The 24,953-nt window shown below is 35.1% G+C and overlaps 1 long non-coding RNA gene across 1 annotated transcript in view; it reads left to right on the top strand.

Moving 5' to 3' along the window:
• The window catches only part of LOC105377899 (uncharacterized), a 198,745-nt gene that overhangs the window by 159,159 nt on the left and 14,633 nt on the right, over nucleotides 1-24,953 (top strand). The window contains exons 4-5 of the long non-coding RNA XR_001744262.2: nucleotides 23,360-23,660; nucleotides 24,345-24,452. This is a non-coding gene — a long non-coding RNA (uncharacterized LOC105377899). The remainder of the gene's footprint in view (nucleotides 1-23,359; nucleotides 23,661-24,344; nucleotides 24,453-24,953) is intronic.

The following is a 24,953-nucleotide window of genomic DNA, read 5'->3' on the forward strand; positions in this document are numbered from 1 at the left end:
CACAGGGCACCTTTGTTCTCTTGCATGATAAATAACTCTAAGACACCACTTCAATTCTGATTTCAGAAGCAAATTAAATTTCAAAATTAAAACAAATTAAATTTAAACGTTGCTTTTATATCACCTATCTGTAGCAGACCTTATCAAGAAAATCTGCGGGCTCTGTGATCCTAAGAGATTTTTGACCTGATTTAAATCCTGGGACTAAAAAAGATGAAGATACCAACTAATGAAGGCTTCTACTAAAATATGTCATCTAGCAGAATGATAAATTATGTCTGAGGACTATTCTGTATTTGCAAAATTATATAAACTCCAATACATAAGTAAATACATTTCAATTATGTTTATTTTGTATGGTGGCATATAAGTATATGCAACACAGTTTAAAGAAGAATAGCCTGATCACTTCATACGAACAGTAACTTTGGAAATGAATTTAAACGAAAACAAAATGGAAATGAAAGCATTAGTATCCTATGTCTTCAAAGATTGACTCAAATATCAGGGACATAAGTTGACATCATAGAATATGGTATTACAAAGATATCTTTACTTTTTTCTTTTCATTTTCCTGTAATTCTTCCAGGTAAGGAGATTATTATCTGTGAGTACATGCCTGAGTTTTCTTTTTCTTTTAATCTTTTTTTTTTTTTTAAAGGAAGCTCTTACACTTTTACACGTAACGCTTTTCAAGAAAGCCTATCTGGCATTGCTGTTACATGAGTGCCACTTGCAAATATTGAGCATAATTCAGCTTTCTTTGAAATTGATCACAGCTTTTTCTATAAGAAATTCAGTTTAATGGATAGGTTGTAGTGAGTCTGCAGATAAATCAGTTGGGTTATTTTTGATATACAAAATAAAGTTCCCACATTCTCTTACACTCTTTACTGTATTATTCTATAATATATGCAGTTAAAGTTAGCATACATTTAAAAGTATTACATTTTATTTCCTTTCAAAGAAGTAGAATAATTTTCTTATTTCAGTTGAATTATTAAATTTATTCATTGCTAAAAATCTGGGCGAATGAACAAACACAATCATTAAATGAGAGAAGTAAAATAATGCTACAATTTTTTTTTTTTCTGGAATAACACTTCCTGGGCTTTCAGTAAGCAACTGTTGAAATAGTTGTGACATTCTCTTAGAAATTACATGGTTGTGTGCAAACAAGACTTCAACTAGGATTTTTGAAATCAGATGTATAGGGGTAACTTTTTTCCAACTGGGTCACATTCAGGATTGGGAAAAATTGCATATTATATTGTAATCAAATTTCATGTAACCATGGTAAGATGTGGCAGCCTAGCAATCCTGTCAGTCATTGATTTACTGCTTAATTGTTGGAAAACATTTTGGAACAATTCCTCCTCCCCCCAGAACTGTCATAAGCTCTTTTTTATTGTCAAGATGTCAGAACAGTCCATCAGGTAGCTTCTCACCTTAGAAGTGATTTATGATGAAAACTCAACTAGAGATTAGTTTAGTTTTATCATCTTAAAAACTACATGAAAAAAAATTCTGTAAAATTATGTGTTTTTTTCTGGTCTGTACAATATAATCCACAACAGAGCAGTTAGTTCATAAAAAGAACATACATTATGAGAATGTTCTAAATCTTCACATTCTGTTTATATTTTATTGCTCTTACTTAGGTTAACATATGGTATATTCTTACAAAGGCTGATTGTTCACATATTTAATTTCTATGCCCATAAAGCAATATATTTTTAATACAATCCAACCAGCAGGAAATGATCAGACTCTACTAAATGTTTTAATATTAGCCTGAAGTTGTGAAGTGAAATATAAAAGGGAAAGTGGTTTTAGAGCCTGTGACATTTCACACTATTCCATCAGCAATAAAGATATATAAATCAACCTTCTGGAATGCCATTTGGGAATTTCAAAATACTAATACCTATACTATGAAATAATTATGAAATAAGATATGTAAAGTCAACAATGAAACTAACACAGGAATATATTTCTTTTTGTTACTGACCCCTTTTCCATTATTAATGAAAAAATTTTAATTTGAAGGGATGATATATATGTTGCACAAACAGGAATTCTGGTTGTTTGTAAATTGGAATCCTGTATTGTTCTTATACCTGATAAAATAGCTGGTGAATTTATTTCATCCTAAGTTTTAGGCATACTTAAGTAATCACATCAAAATTATTACTATTTTTACAATCCACTTTCTTCTCCTATTTATAAATTATTGGACTTTTATATTGTTGCTTTGAAGCACACTTACTTTGTTGATCATCCCAATTATACATTAAAGGAATGGTTCAGTTGATGCAATCTTTGTGTGATAGGCAGAAAACAGCCAAATAGAAAATCTCAAAAAGAGAAACACTAATAATTTTTAACTCAACTTCTGAAGTCAGGCTACATTTGAGAGACAAAAAACAAACATAAGGACATTTCAATTTTTTTAATAATAAAGGATGATTATCGAAGGAGACTCTTCAAATCCTCCTTTTCTCCTATATGGTTTGAAAATGCATTACTATATATTTTGTAGATAATCACAGAATTTATTTTGCAAATTATATTCACACTGGAGAAGAGTGCCATCTCCAAAAGTTACTGCATGAAATTGGTTTGTAGCCTATAAAATAGAAACAGAAAAATGATAGCATTTAAAATAAAGAGACCAAACAGTATTTGAGAAAATATTTGACACAACATTTGTTTCAAGGCATTGAAGTCTAATTTTTGATCAATGTTAGAGAGAGCAAGTGGTTCAGTTTAGGGTAATAATATGTATGGCATGCACAAGGAGTTCAGAGCTACAGAACCTGGGGGAAGGCAGAACAGGGGAATCTGGATGAGAATCTGGAAAGAGGAATATCTGATGATTGCCACTCTGCTGTTAAAAAAACGTTCAGTGTCTTCTTAATTTCCTAAATATGACATGCTTGACTTTCTATATTCTGCTCTTTAACTGCCTCTCTAACCTACCACCAGTTCCCCAATACAACCTACGTTCACACCTTAACTAACTACTTACAGATCCCTGAGTGTTAGATGCCTCTGTAGCTTTGCACATGCTCTGCTCTGTATTTGAAATGCCCCTTATCTCCATCCCATAAGGAGAGCTCCTACTCATCGTTTAAGCATTAGTTAGCATGTCACTAATTTTCATAAATCTTGTCTAAGCCACTTTAGATATTTATACCACTATTATGTGTTATAGTTTAGTATCTTTATTATGTACATATGTATATATATAATATTTAAATAATATATTTCCTGTCAATTAAGTTTTAAACTTCCTGAGAGAAGGGCAATTAACTTATTTTTCCCATATCTCTGTAACCAGTGTATATAATTCATTTATTGCTCTTGTCTGCCTTGTAGCTTAACTATATCAAATGGTATCAACATTAGTCATTTTATTATTTGATTGTCATTTCATATTTTATACATTTATTACATATACCTGCAGCCCTGACTTGGTCCCTGAGCATTCACCCTGGCTCTCTAACTGCCAGTTGGATCTTTAACCATTACCTAATTTTCAATGATCTGACAACATATTCACTCTCTTTTCTGAAATATACTTCATATCTCACATTTTTTATTTCAATCATTGGCATAATAATTCCCCCAAGATCCTAGCTTAAGAACTTGGAGCCATACCTGACTTCATTCCCAATGAATGAAGACATTCATTTATAGACATTAAATCACCATGTCCTTTCTCTATTTACTTCTATGTCTTCCTTTTCTTTTTCACTTGCTCTACCTTGGTCCAGATCCTACTACAGTAGCAGAAAGCAAATTCCCAATAAACTGCTTTGACGCATCTTTTCCTTAAACATTTTAAAGGACTATGGCTGCTGAAACGATATCCCATTTTCAGCTTACAATTTAGCATCCTGTACACTTTGATTACTTCCTATCTCTTTAAAGATATCCTCACTATGTTCTCCTAACAATTTTCTTTCATTGCTGCCTAATTTTATTTATAGTTCCGAACATTATCTTTTGTTGCCCAAAATGTCCTCCCCTTTTTCGTCTTTCCTTGGGCATAATTTTGTCCTGATGATTTAACTTAAGCTCCACTTACTCCACAACACTCTGATACCCATCCTATCCCATCCCTTCTCAGCTGCTTTCCCACCTAGTGTCCATGTTACTTGCTGGGAACTTAGCAAATGTAGCTCTCTGCTTAAATTTATGGTTTTCAAGTGAAAATCCTGTCTCCTTAACTGGGTTGCAGATGTGAAAGCAGGGCTTTTTTACAAATTTAAATTGTTCAGCCTTATATATTGTATTTATATTCATGATTATGATGATTTATTGAAAGCTTTTGTTCAGGATTATGATTTCCATTTATTACACTGGATACTATTTTATACTACAGCTTCCATAAAGGCAGTGTATACTAAATGGAGCACTGATTGTAGTTTACTGATTATAGGTTGCTTATTAACACTGCTCGTTACTTACTACTGTTCTTTATTTTGTATTCCTGGACTCTGATGTAGCACTTGTCCTAATTGTTTCTTACCTAGATTATCAGGATAGCTTCTCTATCTTCAGCTTTCTCTTCTTCAACTTTTTTTTTTTTTTTTTTTTTTTTTTGAGATGGAGTCTTTCTCGCTCTGTCGCCCAGGCTGGAGTGCAGTGGCGCGATCTCGGCTCACTGCAACCCCGCCTCCCGGGTTCAAGCGATTCTTCTGCCTTAGGCTCCTGAGTAGCTGTGACTACAGTGTGCACCACCATGCCTAGCTAATTTTTGTATTTTTAGTAGAGACGGGGTTTTACCATATTAGCCAGGCTGGTCTGGAACTCCTGACCTCATGATCTGCCCGCCTTAGCCTCCCAAAGTGCTGGGATTACAGGCGTGAGTCACTGTGCCTGACTCTTCAAAGGTTTTATTGAATACTATTAACTACAGCCTGTGTGACATTTTAATATTACTATCAACATTTTTTGTTCTAAAATTTTAAGTTTGGTAAGTTTATATTATGTGCATCCTCAAAAATCATCAGTGACTCCTAATTGTCTATAAAGACTACTTTTATCTGCTCTGGTATACCTTGCCCTGTTTGTGACATTTCCCTTTATACATTCATACATTTGCAGTAGTCAAGTCCAAGCATGTAATGTGCTGACCTCCCTACGTCAGATGCACCCTTATAATTTTATGTCTTTACTAATGAGATTCCTTTATCTTGGAATTCCATACTCCTGTGAAATACTAGTAAAATTCCTATGCTTCACCCAAAAATCACTTTATTGAAAAAAATGTTTTCCTCTTCTTTGTTACAAGAGCATTTTGTTTGTACTTCTATTATGGCAATATCTTAGTCACCTTGTGTCATAGTCGTGTTATGAATGCATATTACTTTTTCTGTGCTAAATTGTAAGGCTTTTGAGATTGGTTATTGTGCAAAATATGTCTCTGATTCCCATCAATGCTTAGCTCCATCACTGCAGTCTAATTGTCATGCAATAATTATTTCTTAGAAATTTATTTCTTAAAAAATATTTATTTTATATTATTTTTAAGAGATAATTTATTATGCATACTTTAATATAGAGTTCCTAATTTCAGTTCTTACACTGACTATCTCAGCCTCATATTTATATGTGGAAAATAGGATAATAACATCTGGTATTTGTAACTGAAGTATGTTTCCAATAAGTGGCTCATTCACTTCTTTCTGAACACTCTCACATCACCTTCTCACTAATGACTGTTGTTTGCTTGTTTTTGTAAAGCAATACATCTTGGTAGTGTTTAGTTGACATTCTTGCTTCTCTAGCTGGCAGTTTGAGGACAGTCAGCTTGTAAGAACTTTTTAAAGTTGGTTCTTTGGGTATAGGAGACTTTATATGTAATTCCATGAAACTTTAGGAGAAGCAAAGGCTATTTCTAAGAACAATCAATCTCTTCAAGTTTTAATGGGATTCTATAAGAGTCAGAACATTTTCCGTGCTTATTAAGGGTAATTTCATTAGTTTTATAGAGTACCAGTGAAAAAGATAGCTTTCTTCATGTGCCTTAGTTGAGTTATTTAAGAACACCGTAGTTCATCCCATTGTGGTGAGATATGCCATCAAATTCAGTCCTACTTTCTGTACTGGGTCTAATCAATAAACTGTATCAAGCAAAAAGAAATAAATTGAAATTATCTGATGTAGCAGGATGGTTATTTACACAAATAACTTCTACATTTTGAAATTCAATTTGGAAACACACTAGACATTATGATATCTGTCTCTTAAAAAATTTCATAACCACCAATATATAGTCCAGTGTACTCAACATAATGTCCTTCTGGAACAGAGTTTGCAAACAAATTCAGGGTTCTATGGAAATATTGTGTTAGTAGAAGACATACTTATGGAAAAGGTTCTGGGTAAACTTTACATGAGCATAGTCTTTTTGTGTTGGAGCATCAAAGTTCATGGGCCCAGTCCTAATAATGTTTTCCTTACACAATCTGAGTTAGGATTCTTTGTTGAATTGAATTGAAATTTAAATTTCTTGTTGAATTTTTTGACTTAGAAGATCCTAAACATTGTGGCTATTTCTTCATTACCAGAATTTCAGGTTTCTACACAAGTTTATACCTAGTAAATTATGGTTTTAAATCTGCTATATCAAATAATTGCTTCTAAATTGAAATACCTGACTAGTACTCAAGGCTTACAAATCACTGCTTCATGCATAGGTAAATATTAGACATGAAATGCAATCTCAAGTAAATCAATGACCAAAAAGAACTTCAGAACAAAAGAAAATGACAGTGAAAGAAAAGAATAAAACAGATAAACAGAGAAAACATGAGGTTTTCTTTTATTGCCATGAGTAAGATTTTAAATCTGAGTCTACTAATGATTATTAACTTGCCACAGTTCCATGAAGGTCATTAATTTTCTAATATCCTTCCTCTATTTTCTGACTGGGGGAGAATTCCTTTATGTAGTGCTTTAGATGAAATGAGGATTGGGAATTTGGAAATTCTTGTCACAGTAGGGGCAGAATTTTTAAAAAACAATAGTATCACACACACACAATAAAAAACACTTTCAAGATAGAGAAAGTGATTAAGATGGAGGAGTGGATCATTAATGCTCCAAGCTGCAGAGAAGACAGTAAAGATCAACAATCAAACTTGTCATTGGATTTAACATCAAGCAAGTCACTACTGAGCATGAGTAAGGAGTTTTAGTCAAGTAAGAAAGATTAAGGGGGTAACAGCCTGTATGAAATTTGGAGGTTTGGAAATGAAGGTTTTGAAAATAGAAAATGTGTGTAGGTTATGCTTTCAGCAGTGCTGATTAGTAAAAGAAAAAAATAGATGGAAAAGAGGGCTATAAAATCGTGGAGGAAAAGGTTTTATTTCGATTTATTATTATGAGAAACACGAGCAAAGTTAAATTCGGGGGGTGGGGGAGAAAGAGAGAGAGAGAGAAGAGACATGAGAAAGAGAATTATGCAAGGTAATGATTCCTAAGTGCCAGAATCCAAAGCAGTAAAATTATGAGTTTGGTCATGCACCAAAGTGGGGCGGTGGGGGGAAGAGGGACTTCTTTCCCCCAGAGGAAGGTTGTAGGTGAGACACAAGATGAAGTAAGAGACACATTGATAAGTTTTAGGATAAAATCAGCTGGGCAATAATATTTATTAAACAGATATTGGCATTAGCTAAAGATGAAAAGGAGAAGAAAAAAGAGGGAAGACATTGGAAGAAGGGAGAAAAGGAAGGTAAACACTATAACCAAAGATTTGCTAAATTTTAGACAGATTCTTAGAGATGATAAGCATCAAACAACCCTGTAGAGCATGACTTAAGCATAAACAGAGCGTTGAAATTTTGCTATCATTCCACCCCAAAATGATATTTTGTGTGATATTTATTGTCAAATGCTTGAAAAGGATATGCTGGGTCCAAGATAAAAAGTATTTCACCTGTGCCCCTCAAGTAGTTCCCTGATTCTCTGTTTTTTTCATATACGTAATTTCTGCACTCCTGGTTGAGATATTCTACTTTTTGATGGTGATTTCATTCTCAAAACTTTTACGTGCATAATTGAATTAACATGCTTAAAGTTAAGGAAAGCCTTTAAAACTGACTGCTTCCAAGGCAGTGAAAGCATCAGCTTAACTCTCTGGCTTTCAACTTTCTCTTTACTTTTGGCCTTGGGGAAATCCCCTTGATTTCTCAGGACCAAAGCTGTATATTTAAAATGATATTTGTTATATATTACCCAGAATGTCTTAGTGTTTTGAAGTAGGATGATATTAATGATATCTTATCTTCCATATTATTAGAATTAAAAATCTTGGTCTCCTGCTTCTCATTCTAGGTTTATTTTTTTCTTTACTTGTATTCTGTGCGTTGTCCTAACTCCAAATTGTTCCTAAATTTAAATTTTAACATGTAGACATGCCAGTGAGAAATTGTGGAAGGGGAAGGAGGAGGTGCTAGCTGAACTTTTGAATCTGAAGATTAATGTCTACCTCTGTTGCTTTTTGTAATGGGCTCAATTTCCTTACACTGTGCTTTGCAGCTATGTGAGACATCTGTGGGATGTCCAGCTCCATTTCTGTTCGGACCATGTGGGACCTCTGTATCCTCAGTTCTTCCTGGTCTTGGACCCCAATCTTATCAGACACTTATATGCCTCCTTCTGAGATAGTAATGCTCTACCTTACTTGGTGAGGTAGGGTGAAATCCCTTTTCAAGGAAATAATATTTTCTTCTTCAACTCTGAACTGAAACTCAGGATTCTATTTTGGCAGTACCATGACATTTTTTTGTATAATGTCACATACGCCCCTATTTCCCATCCTCCATTCTGTCTCAGTTTCCTTATCTGTAAAATATTCTGTTTTTTCATAGTACCTAAAAGTGAATTTAACCAGTGACACAATCATAAATTATTTGGGTTATACTAACACCACATTGAGCTTTTTAAAGAAATGTTATAAATCCCATGTTAGTTTTTGTTAAATTGAAAATATTAATGCTAAAATATATTTGTTCTTAGTTTAATATTTATTGAAGTCATATCATCATAACTTAAAAATTTACTTCCCCTAACACATCTTATGCACACACTTACATAGGCACACATTGTTGACATTCTTCTGAAATATTCTATAACTTAACAAGAACTCCTATTTTAAGATGGCGGAAAAAATGTTTTAATCCAAATTGGCACGGTAGGCTGAATAAAAATGTCCCCCCAAAGATGTCCATGTGCTAATCTCTAGAACCTGTGAACACAGAGGTTCCTCAACTTACAATGGATAAACCTGTCATAACTTGAAAATATCATCAGTCAAAAATGCATTTAATACACTTGACTTAAGGAACATCATGGTTTAGCTCAGCCTTCCTTAAAAGTGCTGAAAACACTTACATTAGTCTACAGTTGGGCAAAATCATTTGGCCACACAGTACACTGTAGAGTATTACTTGTTTGCCGTTGTAATTTATGGCTGATGAATAGCTACAGTTCAATGCTACAGCCCAGCATTGTGTGATAGTATTGTACTGCATATCTCTGGCCCTAGAAAAGACCAAAATTCAAAATTCAAAGTACAGTTTCTACTCAATGGTATAACTTCCACACTATTGTAAAGTCAAAAAATCATAAGTAGAATCATCATAAATTGAGGATGATAAGTGTGTATATGTTACCTTATATGGTAAAAGTGGCTTTGAAGCCCTGACTAAATTAAGAATCTGGGGATGGAGGGACTATGCTGATTGTTCTGGTTGGCCCCATATAATCATAAGGGGCTTTAGGAATGGGAGGCAGTAGAATTACAGTCAGGGAGGAGAAGGCAATGTGATGATGATGGAAGCGGAGGTTGGAGTGATGTGGCCACAAGCCAGAGTGATGACAGCCTGCAGGTGCTGGGAGAAGCAAGGAACAGAGTCTCCCCTGGAGCCTCCAGGAGGAATCAGCATACTCACACCTTGATTTTAGTCCGCTGAGCTTCATTTCAGACTTCTGTCCTACCTCCAGAACAGTAAGAGAATAAATTGGTGTTGCTTTAAGCTACTAGGTTTGTGATAATTTGTTAGACCAACCAACGGACACTAAAACAATTGGCAACTTAAATACTCATAAGAACAGATATTTCTTTGCCTCCAAGAATAAGAAACAGTAAAGATAGATATTGTAATAGTAGTGGCAGAAGCTTTCACTAACTGAGATTCCATTGTTTATAAGACATTATTCTGGATGACTTTAATTTTTTTTAATTCTCATAATAGCACTTCAAGGAGTATATTACCATTCTTGTTTTATAGAAACAAAAACATAGAAAGTAATTTCATCACAGGACAAGTGGTAGAGCCAGGATTTGAACACAGTACTGTGTGTCATCAGTTTAAAAACTGGTACATTACGGTCGGGTGCGGTGGCTCACGCCTGTAATCCCAGCACTTTGGGAGGCAGAGGTGGGTGGATCACAAGGTCAAGAGAGATCGAGACCATCCTGGCCAACATGGTGAAACCCCATCTCTACTGAAAATACAAAAATTAGCTGCATGTGGTGGCACGTGCCTGTAATCCCAGCTACTCGGGAGGCTGAGGCAGGAGAATCACTTGAACCCAGGAGGTGGAGGTTGCAGTGGGTCAGATCACGCCAGTGCACTCCAGCCTGGGCGACAGAGCAACACTCTGTCTTAAAAAAACAAAAAACAAAAAACAAAAAAAAAACCCTGGTATATTATATAAGAAAAACACAAATTAATTAAGAGAATAATTTAAACATGTTTGAAAGAAATGTTGAAAACCTGTGATAGGCAGTGTTACGGGTTGAATTGTGTTTTTCAAGACAGTTATGTTGAGCTCCCTGAGGACAAATGAGGACATTAGATGGTCTCTCAATCAATGTGATTGGTGTCCTTATAAAAGGAGAAATTGTAGAGAGAGACTTTCATACAGGGTGAATGCTATGTAAAGATGAAGGCAGAGATGAGGATGATTATTGTACAAGCCAAATAATGCTAAAGATTTCCAGCAAACCACCAGAAACTATAAGAGAGGTATGAAACAGATTCTCCCCCACAGACCTTAAAGAACTACAACTGAGGACACCTTCATCTTGGATATCTAGCTTCCAAAATGGTGAGACAGTAAATTTCTGTTGAATAAACCACCCAGTATATGGTACTTCATTACAGCAGTTCTAGCAGACCAATAAATACAATGATAGTGATAATTATGAGAATAATAACAAAAGACATTGTGGATGTTTTTAAAAATTAGTATTCCACTCATTGTAGTTGTAAAATAAAAAATGTAGTTTCTACAAAATTTTTTATTCTGTTTATTATAATAGTCTAGCACATTGTAATAATCACTTTAAGGAGACTTTTGAATAAAATTTTATCTCATTTTTCAATTTAATTAAACATCTACAAACATTAAAAATGGCATTTATATAGAAAACATATTTGATTTCCTTTTAAAATATTTTTCTTGTTTGATTTAAACAAAATCTTGAGTATTTAAATAACTTTCAGTAGATTAAACTTATAGATATATTGAATCCTAAAGGCTATTAATGTTCCAATCCTATAGATAAATGATAACATTTAAACTTTAATATAAGCCTAAATCCAGTACTGAGTTAGACATTTTAATTTATTCTTATGGGTTAAATTCCTTTAAAACTTTAAGGAACATAAAATACCGAACAAGCACTAATTCCTTAACCAAATACATAAAAGTAACGGGGTAGATTCTCTCAAATGTTCTTGTGTGCTTAATTCTAAGTGTAGGTTGGAAGATACAAGGGAACAGGAACAGTTTATCATCCCACACAATTCTGGGGTTACTTTCTCAATTTGCTGAGGTTACTCATATCTGCGCACAAATGGGAATTCTAAGCCTTATTAATGGCCTGTAACATGCATTAAAGAAGAAAATAATTTTGTGCTCCATCTGCCTAAGACTTGAGTCAAATCCTTACTTTTCAAGCCAAAATGAATTCTGTACCTCTACCCATGTGGTAAACCAATTGATGATTTTTATTTCTTTGGCTCTTAAAAGCCAATATTGATATGATGTTAACACTGTGCTGAGCACAGGTGAAAGTACTCAAGATTACTAACTCATTTAATCTGTGGATTGTGACTCTAACTCCCAATGGGGGCTCACAGGTTACCAGCATTAGTGAATGAGGCATATCCAATTTGCATAACTAAAAGATGCTGTAACGAGATGAGTGGGGTGGTAGAGCTGACATTTGTTCAGTAATAAGATCTAGGATCAACACATTAGATTTAGTTTCTTTGAATACAACCAATCCTAGTAAAGAGTGAAATGGAATACCCCAGAGCAACAGATCACAGTCAGGGAATAGCAGGCACCACTGATGAGGCCCAGCACAGGACAGATACACAGTAGGTCTCGGGAGAGGGTAGGTGTTGATAATGAGGAGATAACTAATGGGCCATCACATGCCATCACATCCCATCTAAAGGTTAAGGTACTCTATGGCCTTTAACACCTACTCTAAAGCATCAGAGTGTGCTGTGTTTGTTGGTTAGAAAGTTTATTCTGGATAGATTAAATAACTTCATAATGAAAAATTTTATGGTAAATATTTTAAATATAAATATAAAAGATTTTAAACTTTATCTCTTATATAATTTCCTCTCGAAGATACATTAGTGAACTGGACATAATGTGGTTCAGTGTAGCTTTCTGACCTCATACATTTGATAAAGTTTTACATATATCCTATAATAGAATTATTACAAAAACCCTATGAGTTACCAAATAAGGAATTATGTCTTACAGAAGTTAGTGAGAAGGCTAGTTAGTAAGGAGCAGAGGTATTCAAACACAAACCTGTTGGAATCCCAGGCGAGGCGAGAGCCCTTGAATGCTCCCTTATTCTCACCGCCTAGTGATTTTAATGAGCTTTTAGAGCCTTGCATTTTGTCTGGGAATAAGATGTCTTTTAGACCACTATACCCTGAAATTATTTTTTTAAAAAAAAGATGTTTGAAAACTTTGTAAAAACCTATTCCCCCCTCCCATAGAAAGTGAAAAAAAAGGGATTTGTAGTGAATAGGAACTAAAAATAGGACAGCAAATAAAAAATATAAAGATACATCCTCAGTTTGCCAGTATCTTATTGAGGATTTTCACATCGAAGTTCATCAGGGATATTGGCCTGAAATAACTCAAGATGGATTAAAGACTTAAACATAAGACCCAAAACCAAAAAAAACCTAGAAGAAAACCTAGGCAATACTATTTAGGACATAGGCATGAGCAAGGACTTCATGTCTAAAACACCAAAAGCAATGGCAACAAAAGCCAAAATTGACAAATGGGATCTCATTAAACTAAACAGCTTCCGCACAGCAAAAGACACTACCATCAGAGTGAACAGGCAACCTACAGAATGGGAGAAAATTTTTGCAATCTATCCATCTGACAAAGGGCTAATCTCCAAAATCTGCAAGGAACTTAAACACATTTACAAGAAAAAAACAACCCCATGGAAAAGTGAGCAAAGGATATGAACAGGCACATCTCAAAAGAAGACATTTACACAGCCAACAAACATATTGAAAAAAGCTCATCATCACTGGGTCATTAGAGAAATGCAAATCAAAACCACGATGAGATACCATCTCATGCCAGTTAGAATGGTGATCACTAAAAAGTCAGGAAACAACAGATGCTGGAGAGGATGTGGAGAAATAGGAACAGTTTTATACTGTTGATGGGAGTGTAAATTATTTCAACCATTGTGGAAGACAGTGTGGCGATTCCTCAAGGATCTAGAACTAGAAATACCATTTGACTGAGAAATTCCATTACTGGGTATATACCCAAATGATTATAAATCATTCTACTATAAAGACACATGCACATATATGTTTATTGCGGCACTGTTCACAATATCAAAGACTTGGAACCAATCCAAATGCCCATCAGTGATAGACTGCATAAAGAAAATGTGGCACATATACACCATGGAATACTATGCAGCCATAAAAAATGAATTTGTGTCTTTGCAGGGACATGGATGAAGCTGGGGACCATCATTTTCAGCAAACTAACACAGGAACAGAAAACCAAACACAGCATGTTCTCACTTATAAGGGAGTTGAACAATGAGAACACATGGACACAGGGAGGGGAACATCACTCACCGGGACCTGTGGGGAGTTGGGGGACTAGAGGAGGGATAGCATTAGGAGAAATACCTAATGCAGATAACAGGTTGATGGGTGCAGCAAGACACAATGGCACGTGTTTACCTATGTAATAAACCTGCACGTTCTGCACATGTATCCTAGACCTTAAAGTACAATAATAATAATAAAAAGATATATCCTCACTGCATTTCCTATATTTTCTTTGGATTGGAAAGGAGGTTCATTTTCAGTTGGAAAATAGGAAAGGGAGGTGTTAAAAGTTTGGCATTTCAAGTGATCAGACTTGAATAATGGTGACTTTTCTAGTCATGGCCTCATAATGGCTGCAAATCTTGGTGCAAATCTTCCCATTATTGCAATGATTTAATACATACAGTATCCCAGCAACTTACTTTTTAATAAGATGACAATTTATTGCTGAAAGTTTTTTTAAAAGCTATTTTTACTTCTTTTTTTCCCTCTTGTTAACTGTGGAAATACTCCTGTCAGTATATTCCATCCTGGCCTTGTTATGGAAGTGGTACATGCCGCTGTCGTTTGTAGCTTTTCCTTTGTTAAGGCCAGAAAAAATTTTCTGGGTAACTAATTTGTAACATTCCTTTTTCTAAGATTTCGTGTTCATTTTTAAAGCAGTAAGCTTTATTTTTTTCTGTCAGACAATCTACAAATTATAAACATAGCACAAACATTCATTCTTGAACATAATGAATCCAAACATTTTGCAAACAAAAACCAAAACTTCAGTTTATATTTTTCCAAAACAGTCATCTCTACATTTATTGTTTTTAGCTTGTTTAATTTAAAGCATGGTCAGAGTCAATATTTAATATAATTCAAAGCTACCCAGACTTAATTTTCCCTACCTAGACAGACTCTGATCTTGTTCCAATCCTACCTTGAAACAGGATCAGCATTTTGGTGGGTTTTAACTCCACAAGATATTAGACTTCTCCCTGAAGACTTCATGGGGAATGAAGACATTAAACAAAGTCTCTCTGGGTCATATCTCCATTGCCCCTGAAGATTCCCTCTGACTTCAGTCAGACACTTTGCCTCCCCTTTCTCAGATATAACACCCAAACAACACACCAAATGACTTTTTGCAGTAAACAGTTTTAAAGGATTGGTATAATATTGCTTTTGAAATTATTTTGCTAGAAGTGACTTATAATAAAATTACATTTGGCTCTGATTGTACTGCATTAATCATAACTTATGGATTCTTGCAAAGTGAGAAAATATAACCTAAAATTGTTCTCATGCATCATGACATTTTTTATGAATTCAAATTTTAACAATTAATGAAGTTGACATAGGTTATGCATTTGTAGGCATTTAATTAAAATTTAATTAAATATTTATTAATTTTCACTTTGCAGTTTTCTTTTCGTGTTTTGGAGCTGATGATTTTTTCAGGCCTGACATATTTTTAGAAGGCCCTGTAGGTCTGCAGATCCTTGGCATTCTGCCTTTGAGTGCTATGGATAAAACGACCACACCACTGGAAAAATTTGCCCGATATTCTTATCTTTTTAGCCTTCACTCTCAACTAGCATGACACACTCAGAAAATCTAAAGCCTTGCAATTAGCAGCCCCTATCTCTCTTGAAAGATGTGTTTGTTATTGCTGTTGTTCTTGTGTATCCCTTAACATGTTATGGAAATATAAATCTGTTAAAACCAAATCCTTCACTTGAGAGGATTCTACCCTGTTGAAATACTGTTTCTTTTCATGTTAAGTTCCTAATCCCTAACCAGCGAACATTTGCTGCCCTCAGCCAATCTACATTGGCTGCTTTGATGTAGGTGGAACATTGTGAAAGAGACCCCTTCTGGCACAGGAGGAAATGTACCAGCAGTTTGGCCATCACAACCTGCTGTCTGTACAGCTAAAACACAGCCAGAATTTGACTGGCCTTCACCACCTCCCTTGCTGGCACCTTGTCCAAGCCCCAGTGGTTTCTGGCTGTGCTATTTCAGTGGATCTTAACTGGTATCCTGCTCAGAGCTTGCTCTTTTTCAGTCATTTTTTAACACAGCAGCCAGAATGGTGGTCAAACTAATGTCAGGTCATGTCACTTTCTTGCCCTCAGCCTCCAACTTTTCTGTCTCACTCTACATACAAGCCAAAGTCTCCCAGAGGTCTCCCAAGATCTAGGTCCTCTTTGCTTTCTGACCTCTTCTGCTCTTGTCCATCTGGTTCATTCCCCAGCAGCTGTGCTGACCTCTGTGCTGTTTCTGGAACATAAAACTGCTCTTCTGGGCCTTCACACTTGATCTTCCCTATGCTTGGCACCCTATTCTTGCAGTTGTTGCCACAGTTTTTGCCTTCACGTGTTCTTAGACCCAGTCTCAGTTTGATCTGCTCTTCACCACTTATCACCACTCAAATCTACCATGTTCCTAACTCATTGATCTTGTTTGTTGTCTCTCTCTCCTGATTAGAATGTAGGTTCTATAAAGGCAAGGATTTTTATTTTATTTTTTTCTTCTTTGTCTGTATTGCATAGTGCCAAACCCTTAGTGCTTAGACCAGTGCTTGGCTCACTTATGTAATATATTAATATCTATTCAATGAAGGCATGCATAATAGTATGTTTCTGTTTTATTTTTGTGTAGAGACAGAGTCTTCCTGTGTTGTCCAGGCTAGTCTTGAACTCCTGGGCTCAAGTGACTCTCCCACCTCAGCCTCCCAAAATGCTGGGATTACAGGCATGAGCCAGCATGCCTGGCCATGTTCCTTCTTTAAAAATTCAGTAAGAACATTCACATGATATTTACTAGCATTATCTAGCCCTCCACCAACTAAAGACTCAAAGGCTTTTCTCCTAATCCAACCCCCATTTCCTTGAAGGGTGCTCAAACTCATCTGTGAGGTCCTGTTTGGGAGAATTTTCCTCCTGATTTCTACCTGGAGGATGTTCATGTTCCCTGTTCCTTGCAGGCACTTTGCCCTGGAAGCAGCCAGGCTATATCTGATCCCGTCTATGTCAGTCAGCTCTGTAGTGATTCATATAATAGAAACAGAATTCACAAAGGATGGAGACTGGGAGATGGGCTTTGTTTCTAGCTGGATCTTCTCCATATGTTTGACAAGCTGTGTAAGGGATGTGTGTTTGCTTCTCCTCACTCCAGAGTCTCTGTCTTCAGTAACTTCAGAAAGCAAGAGGATTTACTGAGATGCTTTTCTCAAAAGCAGTTTGCCACACGGGCTTCTTCTTTAACACAGGTGTGAAAAACCAGAATTTTTTTTTTCATCTCATAAAGTCTTAATTCATTTTTGTTTAATCCTAAATCTGTTCTTTACTTTGGGGCATCTGAGAGTGGTACCAGTACATAACACTGATCCCTTGCAATCAAACTCACTACACCAAAAGTGCATTTTAGGACAAGATTGGAGTCTGTTATGAGGTTCATGGGAAAATGTTGGGAGACCATCTGCTTATCCTGCCCTACCCTGGACCCTTGCCTGTGGAGGACTGAACTTCAAGAGTGGACATCTGATACAGTTTGGGTGTTTGTCTAATCCAAATCTCCTGTTGAAATGTAATCCCCAATGTTGGAGGGGCTTGATGGGAGATGATTAGATCATGGAGGCAGATCCCACAAGAATGGTTTAGCACTATCCCCTTGATGATAAGTGATTTTTTTCTCTGAGTTCATGTGAGATCTGGTTGTTTAAGTGTGTGGCACCTTCTCTGCCTCTCTCTTGCTCCCACTGTCACCAAACGAAGTGTCTGCTCTGGTTTTGCTTTCTGCCGTGATTGTAGTTTCCTAAGGCCTTCACCAGAAGCAGGTGCTGGCACCACACTTCTTGCACTGTGCAGAACTGTGAGATTATTTATCCTCTTTTCTTTATAAATTAGCCAGTCTCAGGTATTTCTTTAAGGCAACACAAGAATGACCTAACATAGAATCACTTCCTGCTTCCCAAGTCTGCAGCACCATATCCAATCTGGTAGATCTTATTCCTTGTAGAAGGCACTTGATACCAATTTTCCTTTACCTGTTTTTTCAGAGCAATGAGATCCCAGGCAGTCCTTGCTGATATTTTTCCAGCAGTGTATCCATACTTCACAGAGATCTCTCATCCAGTGATTTACACCTCTCAGGCCACCTGTTTCTTCAAAGAGCTCTCATGAACACTTTACACCAGTAGGGGCCCTGTAATATCCTGCAAATCTCTCTTGTCTCAGAGCCATCTTTTCTCTCCTCATGGAATATCTATTGCTCTTTTATAGTGTAGACCATCCATGTGGTTCCTTTTGGACACAACTCAAATATTTCCTCTGGTCCCTAGTACTTCAGCACCAACACATGCTCCATATTTTCACACTCTACAATACACATGAAAGAATTATGACCACGCTCAGTTCATGTGACTGGTTAGGGTATACTCAATCTGATTCTCTCAAGGTTTCTTTTAGACAGTAAAAAAATGTCACAAATGCTATGAGACAGTTGTCATGCTGTTAATGTCCACTAAATGAATTAGGAAAAAAAGTGGGTGTATCCATGTTAAATATTTAATATTGGTCTACAGAATTAGTGATTCAAGTAATGGCAAATGTATTGGAGTCCAAAAAACTATGACACACTCAAAGAAGAATAATTTGAGACAAGTTCATTGACAAAAACACAATTTACTTCACAAGTGTGTGAGTATGGGAACCACAGAGTACTGTGGAGCAAGATAGAGATAGTAACTGCCAAGCTATTACTATCCCTCAGCCTGAAACAGGCAGAACAGTTTCAGGAACCTGGAAAATGAGTACGAGTTGGCGCTTTGCCAGGTGCAGTGACTTCTGGGCAAATGTCCTAAGGGAGCCATGGAAACAAATACTCTGAATCCAATTTTCTTTCCTTTAGACCTCCTGCTAGGGTTTCCATTGGCTCAACCCAATTGGAAGTCTTAAGGCAATAAAACCCTTTTGTTCAGTCCCTTTAGATTGGTACCCCCGGGGGTAGAAAGCAGCATAGAGAAGAATGGGGAATGGATTTGGAAGGGGGGGGTACAATAAGCTTGTCTATATCTATAATACTATGGTAATTCTTCATGCCACAGACATTTATGGCTCTCAGTGGTTCAGCAAGAGTATACCTTAGAAGAGAGATCTTATACCTCCACTTTTTACAATCTAATGAGATTTCAAAAATAAGTGCTAGTTATTAAAGTTTAGTTATTAAGACATAAGGATAATTTAAGAAGAGAAAATAGAAAGCTCTATACTGAACATTTTTGTAACAAAGAATTAAAAAGATAGTAAATTCAGCAGATAATTTCAGAGGCTGAAATTTTAAAATACATTGAAACCTTTGAAGATTGATTTAGAAGCCTATATGTGTGAAGATTTTTTTTTCTTTTTGAATTTTCATTCAGGTTTTCAGAGGTTGATGTATTGCCTACAGGGAATAAACTGCAATTCACAAGGCAGAAGGCTGGACTCCAGAACTCTGCAGCTTTGAGTTATATTATCAGATATCTAGACTTTGGATTTGTCAAAAAGAAATTTGTGGAGGTTCTTGCTGAATTACACGGTTCTCTTTGCATGTTGATATGGAGTACATAGATAACAGAAATAGATTCTCAAATGTATGCATATCTTTCATATGAAAAATATGTTTTAGACAAGTTAAGCTTATTTTAAAAACAGGAGATTTTTTTCAGAACAATTTAGTAAAAATGTAAAAGAATCACAACCCAGTTAGCATAATGACAGTTTTAACAAAAACTTAATAACATTAAGAGGTTGGTGAAAATTATATAATGGGCACTTGGGAAACCATTTTTAAAGGTCATTTCTAATTATATTTTAATGGGTGCAGATATATGTATATATAATGTGTGTGTGCATGTGTGTTAGATTAGTTCAGATGAAAGCCAGCTACAAGAAAAAGCTGTTTTTTAAGATGCATTTTTAATTTGTCTGTGTGCAAATAAACAGATCTCTTTGTTTAGTTTTGTAGCATTTCTATTTCACATTTTGATGAAAAGACTCAATCTTTGACTTTCCCATTAACTGAAGTGCTTTTGTATTAACCTACTTGGAAAAAAAAAAGAAGAAAAGAACAATAGACTTCATATTCCAGAAAAGCTGTTTAAGCCAAACTTCAGAGTGACACTTTGGGCTTGTAGGGTAGGCAATTTTATAACAATGTTGCTATTCTGATGTATCTGAAATGTTTAAATGAATAGTAGCACTTCTCATTTAACCTTGGGTGTAAATTTTCCAAGTTATTGCTAAAGTGGGCCTATCTCAGCCATGTTCTTTTTGAGCCAAATCTGAAATTGTCTTTGGTATTTTCTACCTATGTCCTATTTTAATGGATTCTTGTCAAAGCATACTATTTTTTTTTGGAGAATTGAGTTGATATAGCAAAGAATGACACATTTTAATGCTTCCTAATTTCACAGCTGCTTTTGATGTTAAAATTTAACTTTGGATATTTAGAATCTAAACCAGTTATAGCAATACATTTATAATTGTTATGATTTAACAATGAATTGTTAAGTCTATATTTTGGTTCTTTTATGTGAAGAAAAAATATTAACAGATTTGGTTTAGAGCTTGGGGAATATTTTAATTCATTCAAGCTGCTCTATCAAACTATCATATACTGGGTGGCTTATAAGCAATAGAAATATATTTCTCACAGCTCTGGAGGCTGGAAGTCTGAAGTCTGGGAGCCAACATGGTCAGGTTCTGGGGAGGACCCTTTTCCAGGTCACACACTGCTGTGTCCTGTATCCTCATATGCAGTACTGCTGTACTGCTGTATCTCCTGTATCCTCATATGGTGGAAAGAGGGTGAGAAAGATCTCAGCATCCCTTTGATAAGGGCACTATTCCCATAAATGAAGGCTCCGTCTTCATGACCTAATTATCTCCCAAAGGCTAAACCTCTGAATAGCATCACATTGGCTGTTAGTATTTCAACATATGATTTTTCTGGGGGAAATAAACATTTAGTTGACTGCAAGGAGCATTTTTAGAAAGCATTAAGGGAAACACTGATACAGTCAAGTAAAAATTCTCTATAAAATAAAAGACATGATTAAATTAAAGATAAGCATCAGGTTAAGAGAATGTATTTTCAGTGTATACAGTATACTAAGATTGGCTGTCCAGAATATAGAATATAGAAACTATATTCTCCTAGGAATAAAATGAAAAATATCAACAGTTACAAAACAAGCCATGGGTATATGCAACTTTTTTAGAAGGAAGTTAATTTTTAAGTGCGTATAAAATGTTAGATTTCAATGAACGTTTTAAAAATGCAATTTTAAACTAAGATAGAGATTGTCAACTATTAAATTGGTAAAAAATAAATATCGGATAATAAGCAAGTGCCAGTAAAATTGTGGAAAGGCAGATTCCTTATATACTCCAGGTAGGAGTGCAAATGCTATAGATTTAGACAGAATCTAATAAAATTATGAATGCTTAAGGTAGGCAGAATTCTAAGATGGCCCCTGTGATCTTCACTCTCTGATGCTGTGTTCTCTATAATCCCCTCCTTTTGATTGTGAGTGGTACCTGTGACTTTTGTAAAACCGATGGAATACGGTCATGATGATAGAATGTCATTCTTATGATTAGGTTATGATATACAGTCATTCCTTGATTTGCAAAGTTTTCTTATGCAAAAATTTCAGTTACCATAGTTTAGGTAAATAATACCAGACCCCAACTACATGATCCAAATTCAGTTACTGCAGTATCTTAACTGTAATTGAAAATATACAAACTTTGCTACCTTTTCAGACTATATATCACTATGTAAATAACAGATGCATATATGATCAGTGACGAATCATGTCACTTCTGTCAAAGTCTGTTGGTAAGTGTTCATTACATAACATAATCCAGTCATTTCATGCAGAGACAGAAAAGCCTATAGTTGTGTTGTCTCCTTGTCCTGTGATAAGCAACATACCATTTTACAGGAATGGACAATTGATAGAGGGATTTGACTACCAAAGATGAAAGTACAGCAAATAAATGACAAGTGAAAATACCGGGAGTGAAATTGGATTAGATTAGATTTGAATGTTGAGATGACAAGGCAACCATAGGACAAGACCAATATTTTCATGAAGCTACTTTTTTTTCAATGATATTGAAAAAGTAAAATGAATATTAAAAAACAAGGCAAAGTTATTTCAACATCATCTGTTAAAATTGTATAAGGAATTGAGCATTTATTTCACCTTTGGGTTGAATATTACGACAGAAACAATCCCAATCAGTTTGTCTAGTATTCAAGACAAAGTTTTGAAGTTTGAAGTCATTGAAAAAAAAAGCTAATTACTGAGGCTGAAGAAGTAAATTTATTGCCAATAAAGGTGGTTTAATTGTTTCAGAAGTTGCATAAATTGATTAATTTTAGTCTATCTGGTGAAGCAGCTGGAGCCAATAAGGATGCAGCTGTGAAATTTGCACCCATATCCCAAGGATTGATTAAGGTTGATGTAATGATTGTGAAATATTTAATGCTGATGAGAGGAGTCGGTTTTGGAAGGAAATCTCATTAAAACTTCCATGAAAAAAGACGCAGAGTTTCTAAGTGGCCATGAAGGAGAAAATATAGACATGCACCCTGAAGAACTTAGTGAAGACAAATGTATTGATATAAATGAGAAAAGCGGTTGTGATTTAAAAAAGGAGGGGGGAGGAAGGTTCAGAGGAAGTAATAGTGGGAAAACACTTCACATTAAAGGAACTCTTGGAGACATCTAGTATTTAACTTGGAAAGCATAAAACATTAGAAGTTGACTTAAACTTTAAAAGAACTATACAAAGTCATTGACTTGGTATACCAAAATTATACCAAGGTATAGACAATATGCTATTTCACTTGAATGTGATGAAAAGAGGAAGACAAGCACTATTCAATCTACTCTTGGTAAGTTATATTTTTAAACAAAGAAATAAAGCACTTCAATTCCTAATGTTTCCAGAGTTTGAAATTACAATTTTAAATGTATTTCATTTTTTATTTTTTAATTTTTCAATTTAGAGTAAGAGTTTTTAAAGTTTTGACAAAAAAATTTTAAAGTTCACAGAACAATCATAAGGAAATTATAATTTTTCATCAATTGTTAAGATGCTTCACCTAGTTTCAGTTTGCATAATAATTTTTGAATTCCCATTATACCCTTCAAATAGCGACTGCATGTGTATATAAAACTCAGTCTTACTTGCATGTACACCTGAGGACACTCATGCTGGTTTTGAAGAATCGAGCTGCTAAGTTATGGACTGCCAATGGAGAAGGCCACATGAAAGGGAACTGTGAGCCTCAACTCTACTGCAAGGAACTGAATTCTGCCAACAACTAAGTTAGCATGAAAGTAAACCCAAGCTCCAAATGAGACCACAACCCCAACAGACACCTTGGCTGCAGCCTGTCACACCCCAAATTGAACAGCCAGGTTAGCTATGGCTGTAAAGTTGACCCATGGACATGGTGAGATAATAAATATGTATTGTTTTATGCTAGATTTATCTTAGCATGTTGTTTTAAGCTAGATATCTTAAATGCGTGTTTATTGAACTAGATTTATCTTTATCCAAATGAATAGATTCAAAAACATGGTGATGAATAAAATCAAATACCAAACGAAACATGTTATGTTATTTATGTAAATACAAAGAAAAGTCTCAAAATGCTGTGTACTGGCTATGAGCGTACATGCACATATAAAGGTTAAAAAAATGAACTAGAAGGATTACACTGCATTCCAAATAATGGTTGTTTCTTGGGGTTTGGAATGGGGTGTGGGAATCGAACCTGTAGTATAGAACAGTAGGGATTTAAACTTGAACTGGAATTTATTTTTCTTTAAGAAAAAGGAGTACAAAATGTAAATAACTGTAAGTTTAAAATGTCAGGTTCACAATGTTTATTATTTGTAATTTTGTAGATTTTTAATTGCTTAAAAAAGAATGACTATAAATTCTAATACCTGGCATGCACTGAAACCCTAATTTCTACCTGGTCATGAAAGGAGATGCTGAGGAGTCAGGAAGGAAAATATTCAAAACGTTTCATTGAAGGTGGAAGAAATTAACTGTTGGGTTCTAGAGAATAAGAACAAGATTGAATAGATTTTCCCTTTCTGCTCTTAAATGGTTGCTGTCTGATTTTCAGGAGAAACTTTCTTTCTTCTAATGATGTGCACTTACTCATAGACAAAAGCCAGATTCAGCTGGCCTCCCTAGGGAGGAAGCTCAAAAGCGCTTCAGTGTATCTCACCAGGTAAGTTGCTGATGATCTATTTCAGAATCACCCGGAGTGCTTGTTAATGATACAGATGCTTATGCCCACAGTGCATTCCCTGAGTCAGAATTTTGGGGGATTGTGGCCAGGAATTTTCATTTTTGTAAGCTCTCTGGGTAATTCTAATGCATTCTCATTTTTAAAGCAATTGTTACCATTTCAATAGTAAAATAGAGCTCATAAAATAATAAAGTATTTGCAGATGTTAATAAGCACATATATATACTTATATATAATATAATGTGTATATGTATACCATATATATGGTATATATATACATACACTATATATACACTTATATATAATATAAGGTATATATATACACACCATAGATATTATCTACACATAATTAATATAAATGTAAATATGGTATATAAATATAAATATATTATTTACACATCAATTACACATATTATGTATACACACACACACACACACACACACACACAAATGACATTTTATTTAAAATAAATCATTAAG

This window comes from Homo sapiens, chromosome 6, assembly GCF_000001405.40.
Source record: "Homo sapiens chromosome 6, GRCh38.p14 Primary Assembly".
NCBI classification, from domain to species: domain Eukaryota; kingdom Metazoa; phylum Chordata; class Mammalia; order Primates; family Hominidae; genus Homo; species Homo sapiens.